The 22,670-nt window shown below is 38.9% G+C and overlaps 1 long non-coding RNA gene across 1 annotated transcript; it reads right to left on the bottom strand.

Annotated features, from left to right (window-relative positions):
• Window positions 1-461: 461 nt before the first annotated feature.
• Window positions 462-18,814, bottom strand: LOC105373398 (uncharacterized). Its single transcript, XR_001739179.1, has 3 exons — window positions 18,760-18,814; window positions 18,540-18,661; window positions 462-690 (listed from the first exon to the last, which is right to left on the bottom strand). It is a non-coding gene; the product is annotated as an uncharacterized LOC105373398 (long non-coding RNA).
• Window positions 18,815-22,670: the final 3,856 nt, after the last annotated feature.

Genomic DNA, 22,670 nt, shown 5'->3' with positions numbered 1-22,670 from the left:
AAGATCAGCTTTGAAATATGAACCCATTCTGCATGGAAACATGCATGTAGCTTAAACATAGTCATTTAAAGTGGAACAGAAGAAAAGCTGAATTATCACTGTGAAAGTTCAGGAGGCCTCTGGGCCTGAAGGTGAAACCAGAACAAAAAGACAGAACTTTGGGTCAAGGTAATAAGCACCAAGGACTTTACAGAGACCTCCTGGGGAGATGTAGTGACATATCTTTTCAATGAAGCTTGAGAATTGTTCAAAGTTAAGCAGCAGGATCATTTGCATTTCTATACAAGAGGACATTTGTGGGTCCTGTCCTAAGTGAAGTAACTTAGGAATGGAAAACCAAACATCATGAGTGAGTATGTTCTCACTCATAAGTGAGAGCTCAGCTACAATTTCTCATTTTCTAATGTCACTGGTCATCTTTCTCTAAACCAACAAACAGCAAAAGTATTGCTTACCAGTTCTCTTTTCATTGTGATGAAACGTAAATTCCTCCAGCAGGAAGCGGACAGAATGGTTTTCTTGCCTGAGGCACTTTACCTTCCCTCTTACCTGTGAGATCAGAAGAGGATGTTGATTGGAGGGAAAGTGGAAGGAATCATAGCTGGTGGTGAAGAGAACCTCTTGCCACGAAGCTGTCCAAGCAAGCGAAGGTGGGCAGACAGTAAAGGTTGAACACATGAGGGTCACAGCCTGGAGAACAAATAGATTTCAGCCCCTTCATTAATTTGCTGTCTCATACGGTGCATTGCCTAGAACAGATAAGCCTCACTCTGTGGCAGTTGCAAGATAAAGACCTGAAATAGGCACCATGGTGTGGTCCATTGCTCAAGGAGATAATAATGGGAAAAGGGGATTGCCCCAAGTATCAGCAGGGCTGTCTTGGGCTGGCACTTGTTGTTCAGACGTAGCTTTCCCATTGATGCAATCACATGAGTTTGGGCAGTTGTGATGAAAAAGCTAAGGATGGGCAATTACCATCCTCCTATATCAAGAAACATTTAAGCACTTCTGAAACCCAGGTACTTGATTTAAGTTATTTTCTCAGAAGCTATATTGGCTTTACACAAATTCATTAAGTCATACTCCCTAGAGTTCATAATTTGGTGTGTCTCTACACATGGATGTAGAAGGAAAGATTAAGTTATGCCTGAAGTATTGACTTCTCTGTCCTTGGAGACAGCCAGCTCCCCCTGCTGACCTGGTGCTTAATAAAAATACTATAATTTGTTTATGTGCACCAGGGTGTGGTAAGTTTGGGAAATCATGTCTTTCATGACCAGCAAGGGCAGGCATTGAGAAATACTGGCTACTGATGGGTATGCAGTTTGTGGTCATGGGACTGAGAAAGCTAAGATTCCTGACACTTGCCAAGGCTGAGTAGATTTGTGCCTTCAGTACTCAAAGCTCTCATCAGAGACAGAACACTGTATAATCTATCCGTCAGGCAGAAAATGAACTCCTTCTCCATGTTTTGCTGACAATATGTTATTTTCTCTCTGCCATTCTAGAGACTTATGTTCCTCTTTGAGCTAACTTTTCTGCAGGTTTTCTTTCTTGCACGTAATGTTAGCAAATTTGAATATGCTTTCATCAAAGAGTCTCATTCACAGGGTAGATCTATGTATGCAAGGTTTATCTCCTGAAATGGATCAGTATGAATTAGATGTGGGTGGGAGAAGCTGATAAGAAAATGCTCTCAGCTGGGGGAAACGTGGCTGTTAAGCAGCTTCCAAACCGATTTACTCCAGTAACCCAAGCTCTTGCCAGCACGATAGCTGGGACCAACACCTCTGACTTCAGACAAAGACATGCATATTCAGGAACACCACAGCATATAGGATGTGATCTATATCTAAAATTAATGCTGGAAGTGAATAGTTAGATTTTGATACTGAAGACATTGATGAAGCAACTGGAAATACATCTTCTAAGTACAGAGAAATCAATGAGAAGCTGGTTTAGGCTTTTAATCTGCATCTCACACTGGGATGCATTGTGGAGTCCCTCTTGAAGCTGACAAGAATTAGAGCAGTTCTATGAATTACTAATAACTAACCACGATCAAAGCGGGGGTGATTTGGAATATAATTTGTCCCTCTTACTGAGAAATTTTATAAATATTCTGGATAAAGACATCTATTCTATGTAATAGAAAAGATGTTTTAATTAACTTTCATATACACTATTTCATTCTAAAATTCTTGCTATTCAACAAAGTACAGGGAGAAATTTAATAAAGGCTGGCATATTATATATGTATATCCTTTTAAAGCATTTTAAAACTATTTGATATGAAGACAAGGCATTTTTCTGTTTCTGCAAGAAGCAATAATAAAAATTGTTTAAATTTAAATTTATCATTCAGAAAGCTTTATAAGATACCCAGATATGATAACTATTTCCAGTTATAGAAACTTAGGACTGGGGTATAATGTGCATTGCCCAAATTAAAGAAAACAGTGCTAAGAGGGGTTTGCATTAGTCAGAGCTCTCCATAAAAAGCAAATCAATAGGATGTACAAATACATGGAGCTATAGAGAAAGAAATCTATTGTAAGGGATGGACTTGTGCACTTATGGAGGCTGAGAAGTCCCATGATCTGCCATCTGCAAACCGGAGGGCCAGGAAAGCCAGTGGTGGAGTTCTTGTCTAAACCCAGAGTTCTGAGAACCAGGAACACTGAAGCCCAAGGGCAAGAGAAGATGGATGTCCCAGCTCAGGGCGAGCATTTACTCTTCTACACATTTTTATTCTATTCCAGCCCTTGATGTATTTTATGATGCCTACTTATATTGGCAAGGTCAATGGTCTTTACTCCATTTACTCATTAAAATACCAATCTCTTCCAGAAACACCCTCACAGGCACCCTCAGTAATAATGTCTTACCAGCTATCTGGGCATCCTATGGTCCAGTCAAATTGACACACAGAGCTGACCATCATAGGGCCCTTGCCACCTAAGTCACTTTCCAAGCTTCGGCAGGAAGGCAAACTGCATGGGGTCCAGGGAATCCTTCCCACCAAGCCACCGCCCTCACGACTCTCCTGTGTCTTATTTACTGCCGTATTATTGCCTTCCTCGTCTGCCATTCAAGAAAAAATACTATGTTTATTTGTGAAGTAATGTGTTCCTATCAAAAGAGTTCTAGACTCTCTTTTTGTGCGGTGTTTAACAGAGGCCTAGCTATGTGTGTGGGCATGGAGGAGCAATGCAAGCTGACATCTTCACATTGAATGAGAATAGGTTGGACCCACCTCAGCCGCATGTCTCTGGCCTGGATGATGCAGCTCAAGTAATGCCTGACTCACACTTGGCATGAACAGCCAGTGTGGCATGAAGAGCTCCATGAGCTGGCATGAACAGCTTCAAAAAGTCTTCAGCTCCACTCCAAGGATGTTGGTACCGGCGATCTCCCCCACTACGTGCAGAAGGTGAGGAGGAGGTGCTCCTTGGAGCTCTGCCCTTGCCTATGAAGAAGCATCCACATGATGGGAGCGTCCCTCAGAGTGGACCCAGGGTCCAGGCCTTCTGAACAGTGTCTCCATTAGCTTATCATCCTCTCATGACCTTCCTGTCCTCCACTGGCCTTAAGCACATTAGAAGGCATTGTTTCATTAGGAGTATTTTTTAAATAGAAAAGCAGGCACCAGCTCATGTGCTGATATAAATTATAAAATATAAAATCAGGACACAGTTAAAGACCAGAGCGAGTCCCACATAATCTTTCATCTTTGGCAGCCATGTCAACCCACATTAGATTGCCTTGTATATAGTTGATGACAAATACCTGTATGTAGTCTATGATTTGCTGTAGAAGTATACTGTGCTAGACCCTCTGAGGCTGAGGGGCAGGTTTGGGGTCAGCTGGCAGGACTCGGTTCTGTGGTCTCATCATTTGGTCAGTTTGGCCAGGAGCTGTCTTACGTGGATCAGTGTTCTTGTAAAAACATTTTTTAAATAATTCAAATAATCACTCCTGCATAGATAAATATATAACACTCTTCCAGTCTGTAAAGATTTTATAATTTATTGGCAAAGATGAAGACAAATTCCCAAATTAAAAAAAAAAATGCAAGCATCCCAGAGGAAAAATATCCTAAGAGTGATTCAAAACCACCACCACAGCATGAACCCGGGAGGCGGAGCTCGCAGTGAGCCGAGATTGCACCACTGTACTCCAGCCTGGGCAACAGAGCGAGACTCCATCTAAAAAAAAAAAGAATACTCAGAAGCAAGTGAGGTTATGCTCAGCTTAAGGTTCCAGAAAACCTGCTTGGAGTGAGGAGTCACTAGTGGGAAAGAATGGACACAGCCTCTCGAGAGGGGGCTGAGGCCATGGTCAGAGGCTTTGCAGAGCAGACATGATGTGAGCAGCGGTTCAGAGGACAAGGAGGCTTGGCAGGAGTTCCACAAACACAATGTCTCTGCCTCTGGTTTGGCTGAAGATCTGCAAATATCTAAGGATAAAATTGGAGGGCAACCAGGGAAGTTGGAACAGGAGAGCCTTGGATGTCTGCTTGAGCAGTGTTTGCTTTTCAAGTGTTTGGGGTAAAGATGAATGCTATGGTTTGAATGTGTCAGCCACAGTTCATGTGTGGGGAACTTAATCTCCAGTGCAACAGTGCTGAGAGGTGGGACCCTTAAGAGGAGATGAGGCTTTGAGGGCTCTGCCTCATCACTGGACCAATATTATTGCGGGAGTCAATTCCTGATAAAAGTGAGTTTGGCTGCCTCTTGCCTGCACTTGCTCACTGAGTGCTTGTTTGCCCATTTGTCCTCCACCATGAGACGATGCAGCACAGGGCCCCTGCCGGGTGCCAGCACCTTGATCTTGCACTGCCCAGCCTGCAGGGCCAGGAGGAATAGACTTCTGTTCTTTATTAATTAGTCTGTGACATTCTGTTGTGGCAGCACAAAAGGGACTAAGATAGTGAAATAAAGATTCTTGTTAATGGAAGGTTTAGAGAGCAAATGAAATGTCTTCCAAGTAAACAAATTCAATACTTTTTTTGAGTAAACAATAAGAGTATGTGTGTTTGCCATACTGACCTCCCCCACTTTTCAGGCTTGTTATGACTGACCTCAGTTAGAAAGGGAAGCACGAGCTTACAATCTTGGTGTTCGCAGATACTGGGACATGTCCACATAATAGACCCATCTTACAGCTTTGATGGACTTGCCAACTAGAGAATGAACCAGACCCGTGGTTCATCCTCCTCACAGGCACTGGGCAGTCAGGGAGAAATGTGGAATTCTAGTTCCATGCTGTGTGGCTGTTCATAAATATTCCATGTTCACTGGACTTCAAATTCCACATTCATAAAAAAGAGCATGAAACATGTCATTGAAGATTCTCTTAGGCTGAGAATTGACAATATTAATAAACAAATCAGACATATCAATGTTATCAGACTTTAAAAAATTTAATAAAATTTAATAAATCTAAAAGTGAATTTATGTTTTAATTTAATTGTTAACTCAATTTTTAGCAAACATTTTGTGAGGAGGTGCTATTGGCCAGACAATGCGTTAAAAATGAAATATAAAGACAATGAAACTATTTCCTGCTTTTCTTCCACAGAAGATAAGCAGGCAAACAAATGTATTAAAAGCATGATAGGTATTACCACGAATTTATATAAAAGGCACAATAAAGGCCAAGGTGAGATGATAATTTTTATTTTTCTCTTCCTTAATATTTAAGGTTTTCTAAATACCTTTCAGAAAGGGGTTTCTAAACACCTTTAAAGTCCTGTAGTGGAAGGTAGAGGCTGCTACTGAGAGTGAGAAGTTGACGGATAATATTAGTGATTTAAAAAGTAGCAACTAATGCAGCTACACAATATTTCAGTTAAATGTAACTAGTGATTTTTTCCGTTCAAATTTCTGATTATCTTTCAACTTCCCAGCTCTCTATGTACAAGTTGAAATGCTCCAGCAAGGAACTTCCTAGTCATCAAATACGAGGCCCTCATGCCAGGCATTTTGCTGACTTTTCCTTTTTTGGACAGGCCACATTTAAATGCTGTCTGGAGATGTGAATGTCCATAAAATTCTGTTCTCTGTATATGTTTAAGGCCCAATCAAAGTAGACTTTTTTTTTTCTTTTTCTTTTAGCTTTCTAGGTTTGTACTTTTAATTTAACATTAGTGGGACATCTGCAAAGCTAATACAGGCACTTTTCCATGCACTGGAAAACCCAATTAGGACTTGTTCTGAGTTTGATTATCAGTCAGAAACATGCATACAGAAATATTCATTAGAGAGCTACTGAGAGCTGTGATAAAACAGCAGACGGCTGAATTATAGCATTGCTGTCACTCCCCCCCAACACAGTTTACATTTGCTTCATAAAAGACAAGCAACTGAATATCCTCGTGTGATGCGGTGCCCACTGGAAGTGAGTTCCATTATGAAGAGCATTGTTCTGACTCTCTGTAGAATGTTAGTGAGCATCTCATGACATGATATTGCAGACAAATGATAAACTGCAGCCCTGACTACAGCCGTGTGAGGCTGTGTTGATTCACAGCTCTCTCACAGGCATGCTGCATGCTTTAGTTGTGGGCTTTGCCGACTGTCCATGTCCATATGCTACCCAGAGGCAGGTGCAGGTTTACCACCTGGTGTCCTTTATGGAGCCCCTTCAGTGTGATCTCTTTCTACCCTCCTGCCTCAGGATTTGCAATCCTCATCGTGAATTTAGCCTACAGATTAATATAGTATTGTCATTAACTTTGGGTTTGACATGATTTGTTGGAGTAGTCCTAGACATTCTAAGAGGATTCCGAGAGACAGAAAGAAAAGGACTACAGTTTTTTGGTTGGGATGAGAAGCAGGAAGATGAAATGGAGTGAAAGATTCAGGGGCTGCCTAGGATGAGGTTTCTGGGGGATTGGTATGGGGGGCCCTGGGTATTTTAGAGCCAGCGTGAGGACCCTGAGGGAGTGCAGGAGCAAGGGCACACCAGGAAGGGAAGATCAGTGAGTGTCTTAGACTTGCCTTCCCCAGGAACATTTATGTTATCTAGGTTTTAAGGTTATTCACGATGTTTTTCTGAACTTTTTTTTTTGGAATAAAATGATTTGGCAATAATAAAGAGAAGTTGTCTGATTCAGCACACTAAACTAAAGCCTCCATCCAAAAGCTTTTTTTTTTTTTTTTTTTGTCTCACTGAATGTTGGGTTTATAAAGTAGCCTGAGTATTTCTTACTGGGCTTCTTAATTGTCTTCTGCTCCCAATCTGGCTCCCAGGCAACTGAGCATGTGAGGGAATGGCACAAACTTCCTCAAAGCAATCAGAAGAGTAAGCTGTCTTGCTGTCATTGAGCAGTCAGCTAACAGGATCAAAGTCTTCCGAGCAGTTTATTTGAAAGGCATTTGGGTAATTTAGCTTCTAATGGCTTCAATATGTTTGCTATCACAAACTTAAATATGTTATATTTTTAAAATGCAATAAAAGGATTAATACATTTTCATATTTGTTGTTTCATTAAAGAATGGCCATTTCCTGCATAATATGAGAAATAAAATTAAAAGATACAACTTGCAATACAGTACAACAGGGTCTCTAAAATGATTAACTATTTGAGAAAAAACTGCAGTGAAAAGACAGAATTTGTATTTTCTGTAGGAAGTAAATCAGTCTCCACTTATTAGTATAATCTTTCCCATGTGGTGAATAGAAATAATGAAGGGCCTTGTGAGACTGAGATTTCCAAATGATCAATATTGTGATAGGGCTACATCCATGAACTTTAACTATCTCAGCAGGATTCAAGACATTTTATAATAATTTAATTGCTAAACCATATTGCTAGCATATACAGTAATGGTAAAATTATTTCCTCTAGATAGATAGTGAAAGTTTTGTATTAAAGAAAAGGCATTTGACGTGATGCATTTACTTTGTTTGTATACCAGCAGTGCTCTATATAACTTCAAATGCCTTTATATTCTCTTTTGGAAAGACAAAAAAGATGAGCCATTGTTTTTAAAATTTCAATTGAATTACATTTTATTATCAGTATTATTTTTTTCCAAGATAGCAGCATAGGGTTTGAGATTCTCTAGGGAAACAATCTCCCTCCTTGCCTTGTCATTGTTTAGGCAGCATTTTGTGTTTCTTAAAGGAATGTTGGCCTATCCCTTTGTGTCTGCAAGTATTTGTCCCACTGAAATCTGGAATAAAAGGTGAATAAAGTGGAATTTCTATGAAGCAGGTAGAAGTTCCTGATGTTGACCATCAAAGATCAGTCAATCTCTTCATCAAGAGATGAAAATTTGAAAGTGATAACAAGTGGAATAGGAAACACTCTCTCATTCTGGTTCCTGCTCAGATGTTTGGGAGTGGGTCTGAGGTCCATGAGGGTGCTCTGCATGGAGGACACACGACCTCTACTCCATGGAGCAGGTTGAGATTGACTCCTTCCCTGAACTTGTAGGATAACTCAAAATGAGATTGAATCAACTGTATGCATTTTAAAATGTATTAACTCAATCTCACATTGCTCTTTTTGACTTCTATCATTTTAAATAAATCTTTAGTAAAATCTCACATTTTCAACCTAGTCTTGGATGGGAATTAAGGGAAAAGGTATGAGTTTCTGCCAAGCTAGAGCAGTGGTTCTCAACTGGGGAAGAGGAGAAATTAGTAATGTCTAGAAACATTTTTTCTTGTCCTGTCTAGAAGAGAAGGATGGGTGGTATCTAGAGGGTTGGACAACAAATAATTATCCAGCCTCAAATGTCAATAGCACCAAGGGTGAGAACCCCTGGTCTGGAGTGCTGAACAAAAGAGCATTATTTACTGAATTCAGCTTGTTTTTCATTGATGACAGCAGTAGTTAGTAAGGGATTCCCAAGGAGAAAGTAAATTTTAAGAGATGAGAAGAGTACAGATCTTTCTTGTTTGAATATTTTTTCCATGTGGTCTTGCTATAAAATATAGGCATTTAAATGATTTTTTTACAAGGTTATAAAGTCTTTTAAGAATGGCCTGGACGTAAAGGCATTTTGAGCCTGGTTATTAACAGTAATCTTACCAGCTTTCAAAGAGTTGATTTCACTGTTGTACAGGTAGAAACTAAATTCATAAAGTTGTTCTTACTGAGATTCAGGGAGGGTACATTGGACATTGCTCTGGGCCAGTGTCTGTGCTAAGAACTTTATAGATAATCTCATGCAAGTCTCCAAACAAACCTTCAAAATAAGAAGTCATTTTTCTTTTAGGAAGAAGAGGTAACAGAGGCTCAGACTAAGTAATTTTTCCAGGGTCTTGAAGCTTGAGCATATAGATCTGAAATACCCCTTTCTCTGTCCCCTCATGTTTCATCACAACCCCATGGTCACTGGTATTATTAAGTCCAGTTGTGACCTTGAAATCCCGCAGAGTATCTACCATCCCTTCCAGCTTCTGCATATAGGACAGCTAATAGGTTGAAGTCAAGGCTGAACATTCCTTTTGTCTCTATTAAGTTTCAGGGTCAGACAGTTGTTCTTTTATCCAGCCTCATTTCCTCCTCATGAAGCTTTCTTCTGGCCATGCCCCTCCTATAATGGGAAACCACATGGGTACCATGCCCCATCTGAGGCCAGAGTGTGGGGTCCCTCAGAGTCCACCAGGAATATTATGTCCCTTGATGAGCAGACTATGTGCTTTTATTACCAAAGACTGATACGGGAAGCCAAGTTATTAATGATGCTCCTGGTCTTTGATGACCTCAAAATATCTAAAGTGCTGCTAAGTAAAGCTGTCACACACAGACACACACACACACACACACACACACACAGACACACACAATGTAACATAATAATTAGATTTTTGTACACTTACAAGTATATAAAATATTTTATTTGTTTTATTTCTAAAATAATCTTTGCCTTTCTAGGTCATTCTTTATTGTATGTGTTTAAGGTGTATAGTATGATATTTTGGTACATATGCAGAGAGTGAAATGATCACTACTGTCAGGCAAATTAATGCATCCATTATCTCACTCCCTTAGCAAGTTTTCAGCACACAATATAATAATATTGTTAATTATAATTCACATACCCCACAGCAGACCTCTAGACCTATTCATCCCACATAGCTGCAAGTCCGTACACAATGACCTACATCACCCCATTTTCTCCCCCTCCTCACACCTGGTAATCACTATTTTTATTCTCCACTTTTTGTGTTCAACTTTTTAAAAAAAGTCATGTATGTGTGAGATTACACAGTACTTTCTTGTATATAACTAGCTTATTTCACTTAGCACAATGTCCTCCAGGTCCATCAATGTTGTAGCAATGAGAGGATCTACTTTTTAAGGCTGTGTAATATTCCATGGTATATATAAACCATGATTTATTTATTCACCTATAGATGTACACTTAGGTTGTTTCCATATCTTGGCTATTGTGAGTAATGCTGCAGTGAATGTGGGGATGCAGATATCTTATGAGGTGCTGATTTTATTTCCTTTGAGTGTATACCCAGAAGACGAATGGCTGAACCATGTGAGAGTTCTATTTTTAGTTTTTTGGGATATCTCCATCCTGTTTTCCATAAAGGCTGCACCGATTTACGTTCCCACCAACAGTGTAAAAGGACTTCCTTTTCTCTACACCCTCTCCAAAACCTGTTAGCTTTCATCTTTTGATGGCCGTCATCTGAATAGGTGTGAGCTAGTATCTCATTGTGGTTTTGATTTGTATTTTTCTGGTGATTAGAGATGTTAAGCACCTTTGCATATATCTGTTGGTCATTTTTATGTCTTCTTTAGAAAAATGTCTATTTGGATCCTTTGTTCATTTTTTAATCAGGTTGTTGTTTTTTCCTGTGAAGTTGTGGGAATTCTTTTTATATTTTGGTTATTAGGCCTTTATCAGATATATCATTTGCAAAATTTTTCTCTCAATCCATAGGCTGCCTTTTTGTTTACAATTTTTTTCCTTTGCTTTGGAGAAGCTTTTTAGTTTGATGTGGTTCCACTTATTTATTTTCATTTTTGCTGCCTGAGCTTTTGGTGATATATCCCAAAAATCATAATTAAGGAGATTTTCCCTTATGTTTTATTCCAGGAGTTTTATGATTTCAGGTCTTGTGCTTAGGTCTTTATTCCACTTTGAGTTGATTTTTGTGTATGGTGTAAAATAAGGGTCTAATTTTATTCTTTTGCATATGGATATCCAGTTTCCAGTTTTCCCAATAGCATCTATTGAAGAGACTGCCATTTCACCGTTGTGTCTTCTTGGTAGGCTTGTCAAAAATTAGTTGACTATATATTCTTGGGTTTATTTCTGGGCTCTCTACTCTGTTCCATAGGTCTATGTTTTTGTTTTTATTTCAGTACCATACTGTGTTGGTTAATATAGCTTTTAAATATAATTTGAAATTAGAAAATGGGAGGTCTCCAACTTTGTTTTACTTTCTCAGGATTTCTTCGGTTATTTTGTAATTCCACATACAGTTAAAAATTTTCTTTTCTGGCAGGGTGTGGTGGCTCATGCCTGTGAGACCAAGCCAGGTGGATCACCTGAGGTTGGAAGTTTGAGACCTGTCTGACCAACATGGAGAAATCCTGTCTCTACTGAAAATACAAAAAATTACCTGGGCATAGTGGCGCATGCCTATAACGCCAACTGCTCAGGAGGCTGAGATAGGAGAATTGCAGGAAACTGGGAGGTGGAGGTTGTAGTGAGTCAAGATCATGCCATTGCATGCCAGCCTGGGCAACAAGAGCAAAACTCCATTTCCAAAAAAAAAAAAATTCTACTTTTGTAAAAAATGTTGAATGTTGTTCAAATTTTGATAGAGATTACAATGAATCTGTGTGTTATTTGGGTAGTATAGGCACTTTAATAATATTAATTATTAAAATTCATAAATATGAAATATATTTTATTTATTTATTTATTTATTTATTTATTTTTTATTATTATACTTTAAGTTTTAGGGTACATGTGCACATTGTGCAGGTTAGTTACATATGTATACATGTGCCATGCTGGTGCACTGCACCCACTAACTCGTCATCTAGCATTAGGTATATCTCCCAATGCTATCCCTCTCCCCTCCCCCCACCCCACAACAGTCCCCAGAGTGTGATATTCTCCTTCCTGTGTCCATGTGATCTCATTGTTCAATTCCCACCTATGAGTGAGAATATGTGGTGTTTGGTTTTTTGTTCTTGCGATAGTTTACTGAGAATGATGATTTCCAATTTCATCCATGTCCCTACAAAGGACATGAACTCATCATTTTTTATGGCTGCATAGTATTCCATGGTGTATATGTGCCACATTTTCTTAATCCAGTCTATCATTGTTGGACATTTGGGTTGGTTCCAAGTCTTTGCTACTGTGAATAATGCCGCAATAAACATACGTGTGCATGTGTCTTTATAGCAGCAAGATTTATAGTCCTTTGGGTATATACCCAGTAATGGGATGGCTGCGTTTTGCAACCTACTCATCTGACAAAGGGCTAATATCCAGAATCTACAAAGAACTCAAACAAATTTACAAGAAAAAAACAAACAACCCCATCAAAAAGTGGGCAAAGGACATGAACAGACTCTTCTCAAAAGAAGACATTTATGCAGCCAAAAAACACATGAAAAAATGCTCACCATCACTGGCCATCAGAGAAATGCAAATCAAAACCACAATGAGATACCATCTCACACCAGTTAGAATGGCAATCATTAAAAAGTCAGGAAACAACAGGTGCTGGAGAGGATGTGAAGAAATAGGAACACTTTTACACTGTTGGTGGGACTGTAAACTAGTTCAACCATTGTGGAAGTCAGTGTGGCGATTCCTCAGGGATCTAGAACTGGAAATATGAAATATATTTTCATCCATTCATCTTTCAATTTTTTCATTAATATTTCATAGTTTTTAGTGTACAGATTTTTCACTTTCTTGGTTAAATATATTCATAAGTATTTTATTCTTTTTGATGATATTCTATGTGGTACTGTTTTATTGATTTCTTCTTCAGATAGATTATTGTGGGTGTAAGGAATGCAACTAGGTGGCTCACGCCTGTAATCCCAGCACTTTGGGAGGCCAAGGTGGGCAGATCACTTGAGGTCAGGAGTTGAAGACCAGCCTGGTCAACATGGCGAAACCCCGTCTCTATTAAAAATACAAAAACTAGCCGTGCGTGATGGCAGGCAGCTGTAATCTCAGCTAGTTGGGAGGCTGAGGCAGGAGAATCGCTTGAACCCCGGACGCAGAGGTTGGAGTGAGCTGAGATTGTACCACTGCATTCCAGCCTAGGTGACAAAGTGAGACTCTGTCTTAAAAAAAAAAAAAAAAAGGAAAAGGGATGCAACTGATTTTTGTATGTTGGTTTTGTATCTTCTACTTTACTGCATTCATTTATTAGATCTAATGGGTTTGGGTGAAGTCTATAGGATTTTCTACACATAGGATCAAGTCATCTAAACAGAATATAGGTATAGATATGGATATAGATTCAGCTGGGTGTTCAGCTTGAGAAAGGCATGAAAATACCTGTGAGGAATTCTATTTGTTATGTGTTTGGAGGGAAGTTAATAAGGTAAAGGCTACATGCATCTTCATGTTTGTTATTGCATAACTTTACTTTTTAATTTGTTAAACTTATTTGATTTCAGCTTATTGTTCCGAGCCAAACCTCTTGAATTTGAGTCTTAACTCATCAATTTTCAGCCCTTCTTTTACAATGAAAACATCCAGAATTATAAATTTTCCACTATGAACTTCTTCAGTACTTCCCACAAATTTGATATATAGTATTCTCTGTATTTTCCTTATTTAAATTTTCCATTATTTCCTTTGACTCATGAATTATTTGAAAACATATTTTTGAATTTGCCATGTTTTTAGAGTTTATTTTATATTATTGCTTTTTAATTTAATTGCTTTTTCAGATAATTCGTTCTATATAGTATTGATTTGTGTGTCTTAAATGTTATTCTTGCCCACTATTTTAATTCCATTGTGTTTTTAATCCACAAAATTAGTAATTGTCATTTTAATTTTGTAAAGTCAGAGTTTGTTTATATTTACCCATATGTTTGCCATTTCTTTTTCTTTCTTTTTTTTTTTGGTTCACTCCCATTTTCTTCTGACATTGCAGCTTTTTCTTTGGTATCAATTTTTATCTTCCTGATGTACATTCATTAAATATTCCTATGGTGATAGTTTACTTGTATTGAATACTTTTAGTCTTTTAAAGTTTGTTAGAAAAATGTGTTAGTTTGGTTTTATGGATTGCATATATTAGATAACTAATAAATACTCTAACAAATGTGTGTGTGTGTCTATTTTGGTACACATTTTTATATAAGCATGTAAATGTGTATGTTTGTATATATCTTTCCTCTAAGCGTGCATTGTTGATATCAACTCTTTAGAGTGAACCAAACACCAATTAATTCAAGAGATACCTGCTAAACCCACACTATGGGCTGCGCTAGGCCCTATTCTGAAGATTCAAAGATTAAATTTAGTTCTGACCCTTGCAAATTTCCCAGAACCATGTGAAACACTGCATGAGAAAGGTATTCACAGTGGACTCTGCGAGCCATGGGAAAGTTTTCTAACTATGTTGGAAGAGAGGAGGTCATATGAAAGCTTTTTGGAAGGTGATGTTGGTATAGATTCATGAGGAATTAATAAGAATTTGTCCAGATGGAGGAAGGAGGAAAGAAGAGAAGTTAATGTGTGCAAAGGCACATTGGCATGGAGGAGCGTGCAGTGCTGTGGGACTGGGAGACATTGTGGCTTAGAGAGATGGAGATGCTCAACTGTGGCTGCTACTAATACCCTGCTGCTGCTCCTGCTGCTAAAAAAGACAGTGGATGCTGAAAACTTACTACACAACAGGAAGTGGTTATTTTGTTTAATCACTGACCTTTATCTAAGAAAATGCCTTTAAGACAAGTGCAATTGCTATTCTGATAATTTTACAATGAGAAAACCAAGATTTAAGAGAAGGGTAGCATCGATTTGCATTTCTGTAAAGGAATACCCAAGGCTGGGTAATTTATAAGAAAAGCAGGTTTTTTTTTTTTTTTTTTTTTTGGTTTTTGTTTGTTTGTTTGTTTGTTTTGCTCGTGGTTCTGCAGATTGTACAAGAAGCGTGGCGCTGGAATCTGTGTCTGGTGAGACCTCAGGGAGCTTCCAATCATGACAGTAGACTAAGGGAAGTCAGTGCATCACAGGGTGAGAGAGGGAGCAACAGAGAGAGGCAGAGGTGACAGACTCTTTTAAATAACCAGATGCAGTGTGAACTCATTACTACAGGGAGGGCAACAAACCCTTCATGAAGAATTTGCCCCTATGACCCAAATACCCCTCACCAGGCTCCACCTCCAACACTGGGATTACATATCCACATGAGATTTGGAGGGGACAAACTTTCAAACTGTATCAAGTAGGTAATTATTCAAAGCCATAGAACTTATGTGTGTTAGAATTATCCCCTACTGACCACATAAATCAAGCCCATCCTTGAATTTTGGCTTGGACGGCATCTCTGCTGAGACTCTCTGCATTCGCAGATGGTGTTAGGTGCCCTGCCTGTGGACTGTAAAGGCACCTTACTGAATCCTGAGCTCTGTCATGGAAACCTATTTCTGTCCTAAGTATCTACTTCCTCAGCTGCCTTTCTTATTAGCCCACAACCCCACAAGGCAGAAATTCTTTTCCCCAAGAAATTAAACATATGTGATGCAAGACAGTGATCAATGTACAATTGGGAGAATGAATGGACGAGTTAGTGAGTGCCATTGCCCTGTTGCAATGTAGCATGCTTCAGGATATGAGGAAAAAGAAGCTGGGGAAGAAGTGAAGGATCAAGTCATGAAATGTTTTATGTCATGCTAAGTTCCTAATTATTGCGTACAGAATGCCATGGGAAGCCACTGAATGATGCCAAGCAGGACAGGTGCATGATCAAATCTGTGATGCAGGAAGATTACTCAGGTTATGTCTAGATAGAATGGAAGAAAGGGCATGTCAGAGAGGCCAATTAAGGTTTGACTGCAATAATAAGGTGAGAAACAATGAGGCTAAAATAAGTCACTTTGGTGGTTAATTTCATGTGTCAACTCCACTGGGTCATGGGTTTCCCAGACATTTAAACAAACATTATTCTGGGTGTTTCTGTGAGAGTTTTTTTGAGTGAGGTGAATATTTGACTTGATAGATTATGTAAAACGGATTGGCTCTCTAATGTGGGTGGAAAACATCTAGTCATTTGAAGACCTGAATAAGACAAAAATGCCAATCCTCCCCCAAGTAAGAAAGAAGTCCTCCTATCCTGCTTTGAACTGGGACATCAGCTTTCTCCTGCCTCAGACTCCAACTGAAAAGTCAGCTTTTCCAGGTCTGGAGCCTGCTGGCCTTTGGAATGGAGCTTACAACATTAGCTCTCCCGGCTCACTGAATCACCCTGTAGCTCTTGGGACTTGTCAGTCCTCCTAATCATGTGAGCCAAATTTTTATTATCTATCTATCTATCTATCTATCTATCTATCTATCTATCTAGTTAGCTATCTATCATCTAGCTATCCATCCATCATCTATGTATGTATGTATGTATTTATCTGTCTGTCTGTCTATCTATCTATCTATCTATCTATCTATCTATCTATCTATCTATATCTTTCATTGGTTCTATCTCTCTTGAGAGCTCTGACCAATACAGTCACTAATGGTGGGGAATGGATAGGTAAGGTCCTATTGAAAAGATGTTGAAGAAACAAATTCATCACCATGATTGTCCATGGACACGGATGGAAATAGATGCACAGAAAACTATAGGTTTCTGAACTGGAAGATTGAGTGAATGGGATGTGGTGCAGTAAGCTAGGAAAATAAGAAAAGGTGCAAGTTAATAGTAAGTAAGTGGAAGCTTCCATTTTACACATCTTCATTCTAACGATCCTGCAGGATATGTAGGCAAAAGATATTTAGATAGCTACTCAGGCTGACTTTGAAATGCAACATCAGTTCTACCAATAAGGGCTTCAGCTCCTCTTTTGTGAAATTAGATTACAAGGAGAATGGAACAGGATCCTCATCTCTCAGCTCAAGTCAACTCAAAGCTGGATTAAGGACTTAAACCTAAAACCTGAACCTATACAAATTCTAGAAGATAACAATGGAAAAACCCTTCTAGACATTGGCTTAGGCAAGGATTTTTATGACCAAGAACCCAAAAGCAAATGCAATAAAAACAAAGACAAATAGCTGGGGCCTAATTAAACTAAAGAGCTTTTACACAGCAAAAGGAACAGTCAGCAGAGTAAACAGACAACCCACAGAGTGGGAGAAAATCTTCACAGTCTATATATCTAACAAAGGACTAATATCCAGAATCTACAACGAACGCAAACAAATCAGTAAGAAAAAAAACAAACAATCGTGTCAAAAATTGGGCTAAATACATGAATAGACAATTCTCAAAAAAAGATATACACATGGCCAACAGACACATGAAAAAATGCTCAACATCACTAATGATCAGGGAAGTGCAAATCAAAACCACAGTGAAATACCACCTTACTCCTGCAAGAACGGGCATAATCAAAAAATCAAAAAACAGTAGATGTTGGCATGGATGCAGTGATCAGGGAGCACTTCTACACTGCTGGTGGGAATGTAAGCTAGTACAGCACTATGAAAAACAGTGTGGAGATTCCCTAAAGAACTAAAAGTATAACTACTATATACTTAGTAGTAGAACTACTAGATACTTGCACATACATGTTTACAGCAGCACAATTCGCAGTTGCAAAATAGTGGAATCAACCAAAATGCCCATCAATCAATGAGTGGATAAAGAAACTGTAATATATATATATATACACATACATATATATACACACACACATATATATATACATATATACACATATATATACACATATATATACACATATATATATATGCATACACACACATACACTCACATTGGAATACTACTCAGCCATAAAAAGGGATGAATTAATGGCATTTGCCATGACCTGGATGAGATTGGAGACTATTATTCTAAGTGAAGTAACTCAGGAATGGAAACCCAAACACTGTATGTTCTCACTGATACGTGGGAGCTAAGCTATGGGGATGCAAAGGCATAAGAATGATACAATGGACTTTGGGGACTGTGGGGAAAGCTTGAGGGGGTGCAAGGGGTAAAACCTATAAATATGGTGCAGTGTATACTGCTCGGGTGATGGGTGCACCAAAATCTCACAAATCACCACTAAAGAGCCTACTCATGTAATCAAACACCACCTGTACCCAATAACTTATGGAAAAAAAGAAATCAGATTACTGAACAAAGACAATTCTACTATAAAATTGTAAAATTGTACAATAACTTGTAATAATAAGTATGATTTCATTTGGTATTTTATATAACTAATTTACCTAGTAAACTTTATGATGTATAAATGAGCTTTGGCAAGAAATAGAGGAATGTCATTATGACTGGGGAAGTATCAGACAAATAAGAATAAAGACATTGCAGGGAAGAGATATTACCCTGAGATACTGGTAGGCTGAAGATGCGAACAGGTATCTTTCATATAACCAGATGTGTAACAAAATGGCCAAGAAAGCAGGGGGAACTAGGTGTTCTCCAGGCATGCTGTTCATACCAGAGGCTTCATGCAGATAAAGAGATAAAAGGATGGTGAAGAAAACGTGCCACTCCCATTATTCTGATGTTGTCTTCAACATCAACCATCTTGTTATTACTCACAACATATTTGCTATGCCTGGGGTCCTATCTTTTGCTTTCTTCTCACTCTCCCTTAGAAATTTCACTTCTTCCCATGTCTTTCAGTTGCCCACAGCACTTTCTTAACACATGCTGATCACATGGCATTGTGACGTGAGCAATTCTTACCCTTACCTGAGCTGTGTTGTGAGGGAGACGAGGGCTGCCTTGACTCTTCTTTGTACCTGAACATCTGTCACAGGGTCCATAGTGGAACTGGTTCTTGGTAACTTCTTGTTGAATAAGTTGTATGAATAATTAAAAGCATTGTATGATAAGCTGTTAAAGAGGGATGAAAAGATTACATCACAGTTTTACAAAGAGAGGGCTTATGTCTTAGACTACCCTACCTTGTGATAAAAAATAATAAAAGTTTAAGGGCCAAAAATGTTGCTTTCCCTAATCCTGTCTGGACTGTAGAAATCCTAAAGTAAATTTTACAGTGTATTCTCAACTTACTGTGAAGCAACATGAGGTTAAAAATGGTTTTAGGGGCCGGACGCAGTGGCTCACGCCTGTAATCTCAGCACTTTGGGAGGCCGAGGCGGGTGGATCACGAGGTCAAGGCATCAAGGCCAGCCTGGCCAACATGGTGAAACCCCGTCTCTACTAAAAGTACAAAAAAATTAGCCGGGCATGGTGGCAGGCGCCTGTAGTCCCAGCGACTCGGGAGGCCGAGGCAGGAGAATCACTTGAACCTGGGAGGTGGAGCTTGCAGTGAGCCGAGATTGCACCAGTGCACTCCAACCTGGTGACAGAGCAAGACCCCGTCTGAAAAAAAAAAAAAGTTTTAGGTAAAAACAAAAGCAAACCATAATTATGGTGGTAAAAAAGAAAAAAGTTATTCAGAAATTGTTGAGGGAGAGAAAAAACATGATATTTAGGAATTACTATTGATATTTTATTTAGAATACTCAATTGGAAAGAACATGATTCACTTTAGCTAGTTAAAGCAAAAAAAAAAAAAAAAGTTTATTAAACAATATAAGTTAGTACTTGGAATCTCCAGGACAGCCAGAATCTGAATTCACAAACAATGTCCACTACAACAGAGGGGTTCCTCTCCTGGAGACACCCCTTCCCCAGCTTCTTGGCACATGCCAGTTAGGACTGGATGTCATAAGCTCAGCATGGCACCCCTGGAAAACTGACAGCCTCTGTGAGGACTTCACAGAACCAGTTTTTTCTCGTGTGGCTTCTATGTACTCTGGGCTCACGCAGGAGGGCGTGAGTGATAGCTTCTGTGTCATTCGATTACACCCTATACTTAACGGAGTCTGGGCTTTTCACTTGGAAAGATCAAACCTATATGAAATTTCCAAAATCTTGGGAGAAGTTTCAATCCTATTGAGAGACCACAAATAATAAACGCCAGAGTGACCTTAGAGTTTTTTAAGTCCCAGCTTGATCTCACATCTAGGATCTATTATTTACTATGTTTCCTTTTAGAAATCATTTAACTATCACAAATCTCATGCTTCTCATCTATAAAATAGGAATAGTGACATATCTCCTGCAAAGAACTGTGGCAGAAATTGGTCAGTAATGCTGACTACACGGCAAATGCTTGCTCAACATGTGTTGAATCAACATCCATCCCACCCACTTTATCTTTTGGGGAAATATCGAGGTTTGCCGTCACTTCCAAAGTGCTTTTGGCAGACGTCCTCCAAATTACCAGGGAATTTGGATGTCCACAGCCACCCCCAGAAATAATTTTATTGGTTTATAGGTGTCTGTTTTTTGTTTGTTTATTTGTTTGTTTTAGTTCCCCAGATGGTTTAATGTGCACCAATGTTGAGCACTACTGGCTTCTTGTCTCTGTTCTACCTACCCATCAGCCTTGCTTAACTAGGGTTCTGGGAAAGAATTGAACCCTACAAAACACAACTTAAATGATCACTATCTTAATTTTCCCAAAGACGATATATAGAAAAGAATATCTAGTACCCGGAAATATATGAATTCATTACTTACAAAGGATATCTCAGGGTAGGCGAATGAATTTTTTAGTGGAGAGAGATGATGTTTCTAATTACTGAAAGGTATGTCAAGGACTAGTGGTGAGTTGGTAGCCTGGCTCCCCACTGGAGGAAAAAAGGCCCTGAGCGGTTGCATCTGCTGCTTTCTGTGGTATAAATGCTCCCATCATGTCTGATTTCAACCTACCAACTATTTATGAACTGGCTTACAAAATTTCCGAGTAGTTAAAAATTAACATCGACAAGCTGGTCTCCCAAATTGACAGGACCTGCCTCCAGCGCATCATATATTTTTTGAGAAATTTGTTGATTGAGTCTACAGATAACATGCCAGGAAACTATTTTTTGAAGCCATTTTGCTGTGGCTACTCTAAAAGCAACTAAGGTATATGTTTCATACCAATTTCGTCTGGAAAAGGGCAGCTGGACCAGCTTTTAAGATCTCTTCCAAGCCTGTAATACCATAACCATCACCTGGAGAGGAGTGGGTTACCAGGTCAAGACAAAAAGAAGCCCTAAAATTGTGCGTAAAGAATCTTTAAAATAATTCTGTACATCACAGGGTGAGGAAAACCAAACCTAAAAATTAGAAGATATGATACTACTTCTGTTTCTACAATCCTAATTCAAAGCAAGGAAAAGTGTGCAGAGTAGAAACAGCTGCAACTTCCTCCCCTTTAACTTAACAGAAACACCCACGTTCAATAGACTCAATAGTTTATTTAAGTTCCTTAGAACATATGGTGAACTCTTGAATCACCCCCACACAAATATAGATGGCATAATAAGTTGAAGATCTGAAAAAGTATTACAGGATATTAAAAATAGGGATTAAAAACCACGTGCCTTGAAAAATCAACATGCCATATGAACAACATAGAACTTTGAGGATGTTCAGCTTATGAAAAAGCAGACCCCAGAATGCATCATTATCTTCTTTAAGTAATTGTTGTGAATGAGCCTAAGGACTGTGGAAATGGTCGCGAACACTGGGAAACGTTTGTGTTTAAACATGAGGATGGGCTTTTCTGAAACTGTCTTGGAAGAGGGCAAGCATTCTGGCAGAGACTGGAAAACACTTGGTGATATTGTAGAAAGGATTTCGGTATTACATGAGAGGAGCCTAAACTGAATGGCTTCTTAGAACCTTACCAATTCTAATGTTTCATGATGCTGTTAGTCATGAAACATATAAGTGAATCAGCTGATATTAGGTAGAAATTTTTTATTTCTCTATGAACACAAATTGTGGGTGAGATTTGAGCAGATGACCTTAATTACTTGCTTTATAAGTGCCTTTGACACGAGGGGTATTTTTCATCACCACCCAGCGGGGGAAGGAAGCCCATGTGCTTTGACAGCCCTCAGGGGAGGGGGAAGTGTGCCCTGAGCAAGAGCCAGCCTCACAGTGTGGAAAAGCCAGCCTCACAGTGTGGAAAAGCCAGCCTCACAGTGTGGAAAAGCCAGTCTCACAGAGCTCCTACCTCAAACTCCACACCACAGAATGTATTTGACCAGAAATACTCTACTCAAGTATTGTTAGAATAAAGACACATGCGCACACATGTTTATTGCAGCAAAATTCATAATTGGAAAAATATGGAACCAACCTAAATGCCCATCAACTGAGTGGATAAATAACATGTGATATATATATATATTTATATATATTTTATGATATGATACATATATATCATACACACACATATGTCATATATATATATACACACACACACACTATGGGATACTACTCAGCCATAAAACAAAATGAAATAATGGCCTTTGCAGCAACTTGGATGGATTCGATGGAGCTGGAAGCCATTATTCTAAGTGAAGTCTCTCAGGAATGGAAAACCAAATATAAGTGGGAGCTAAGCTATGAGGATGCAAAGGCATAAAAATGATACAATG

Source organism: Homo sapiens, chromosome 2 (genome assembly GCF_000001405.40).
Source record: "Homo sapiens chromosome 2, GRCh38.p14 Primary Assembly".
Taxonomy (NCBI): domain Eukaryota; kingdom Metazoa; phylum Chordata; class Mammalia; order Primates; family Hominidae; genus Homo; species Homo sapiens.
The sequence above is the reverse complement of the archived record's forward strand: the minus strand, read 5'-3'. Positions and strand labels throughout refer to the sequence as shown.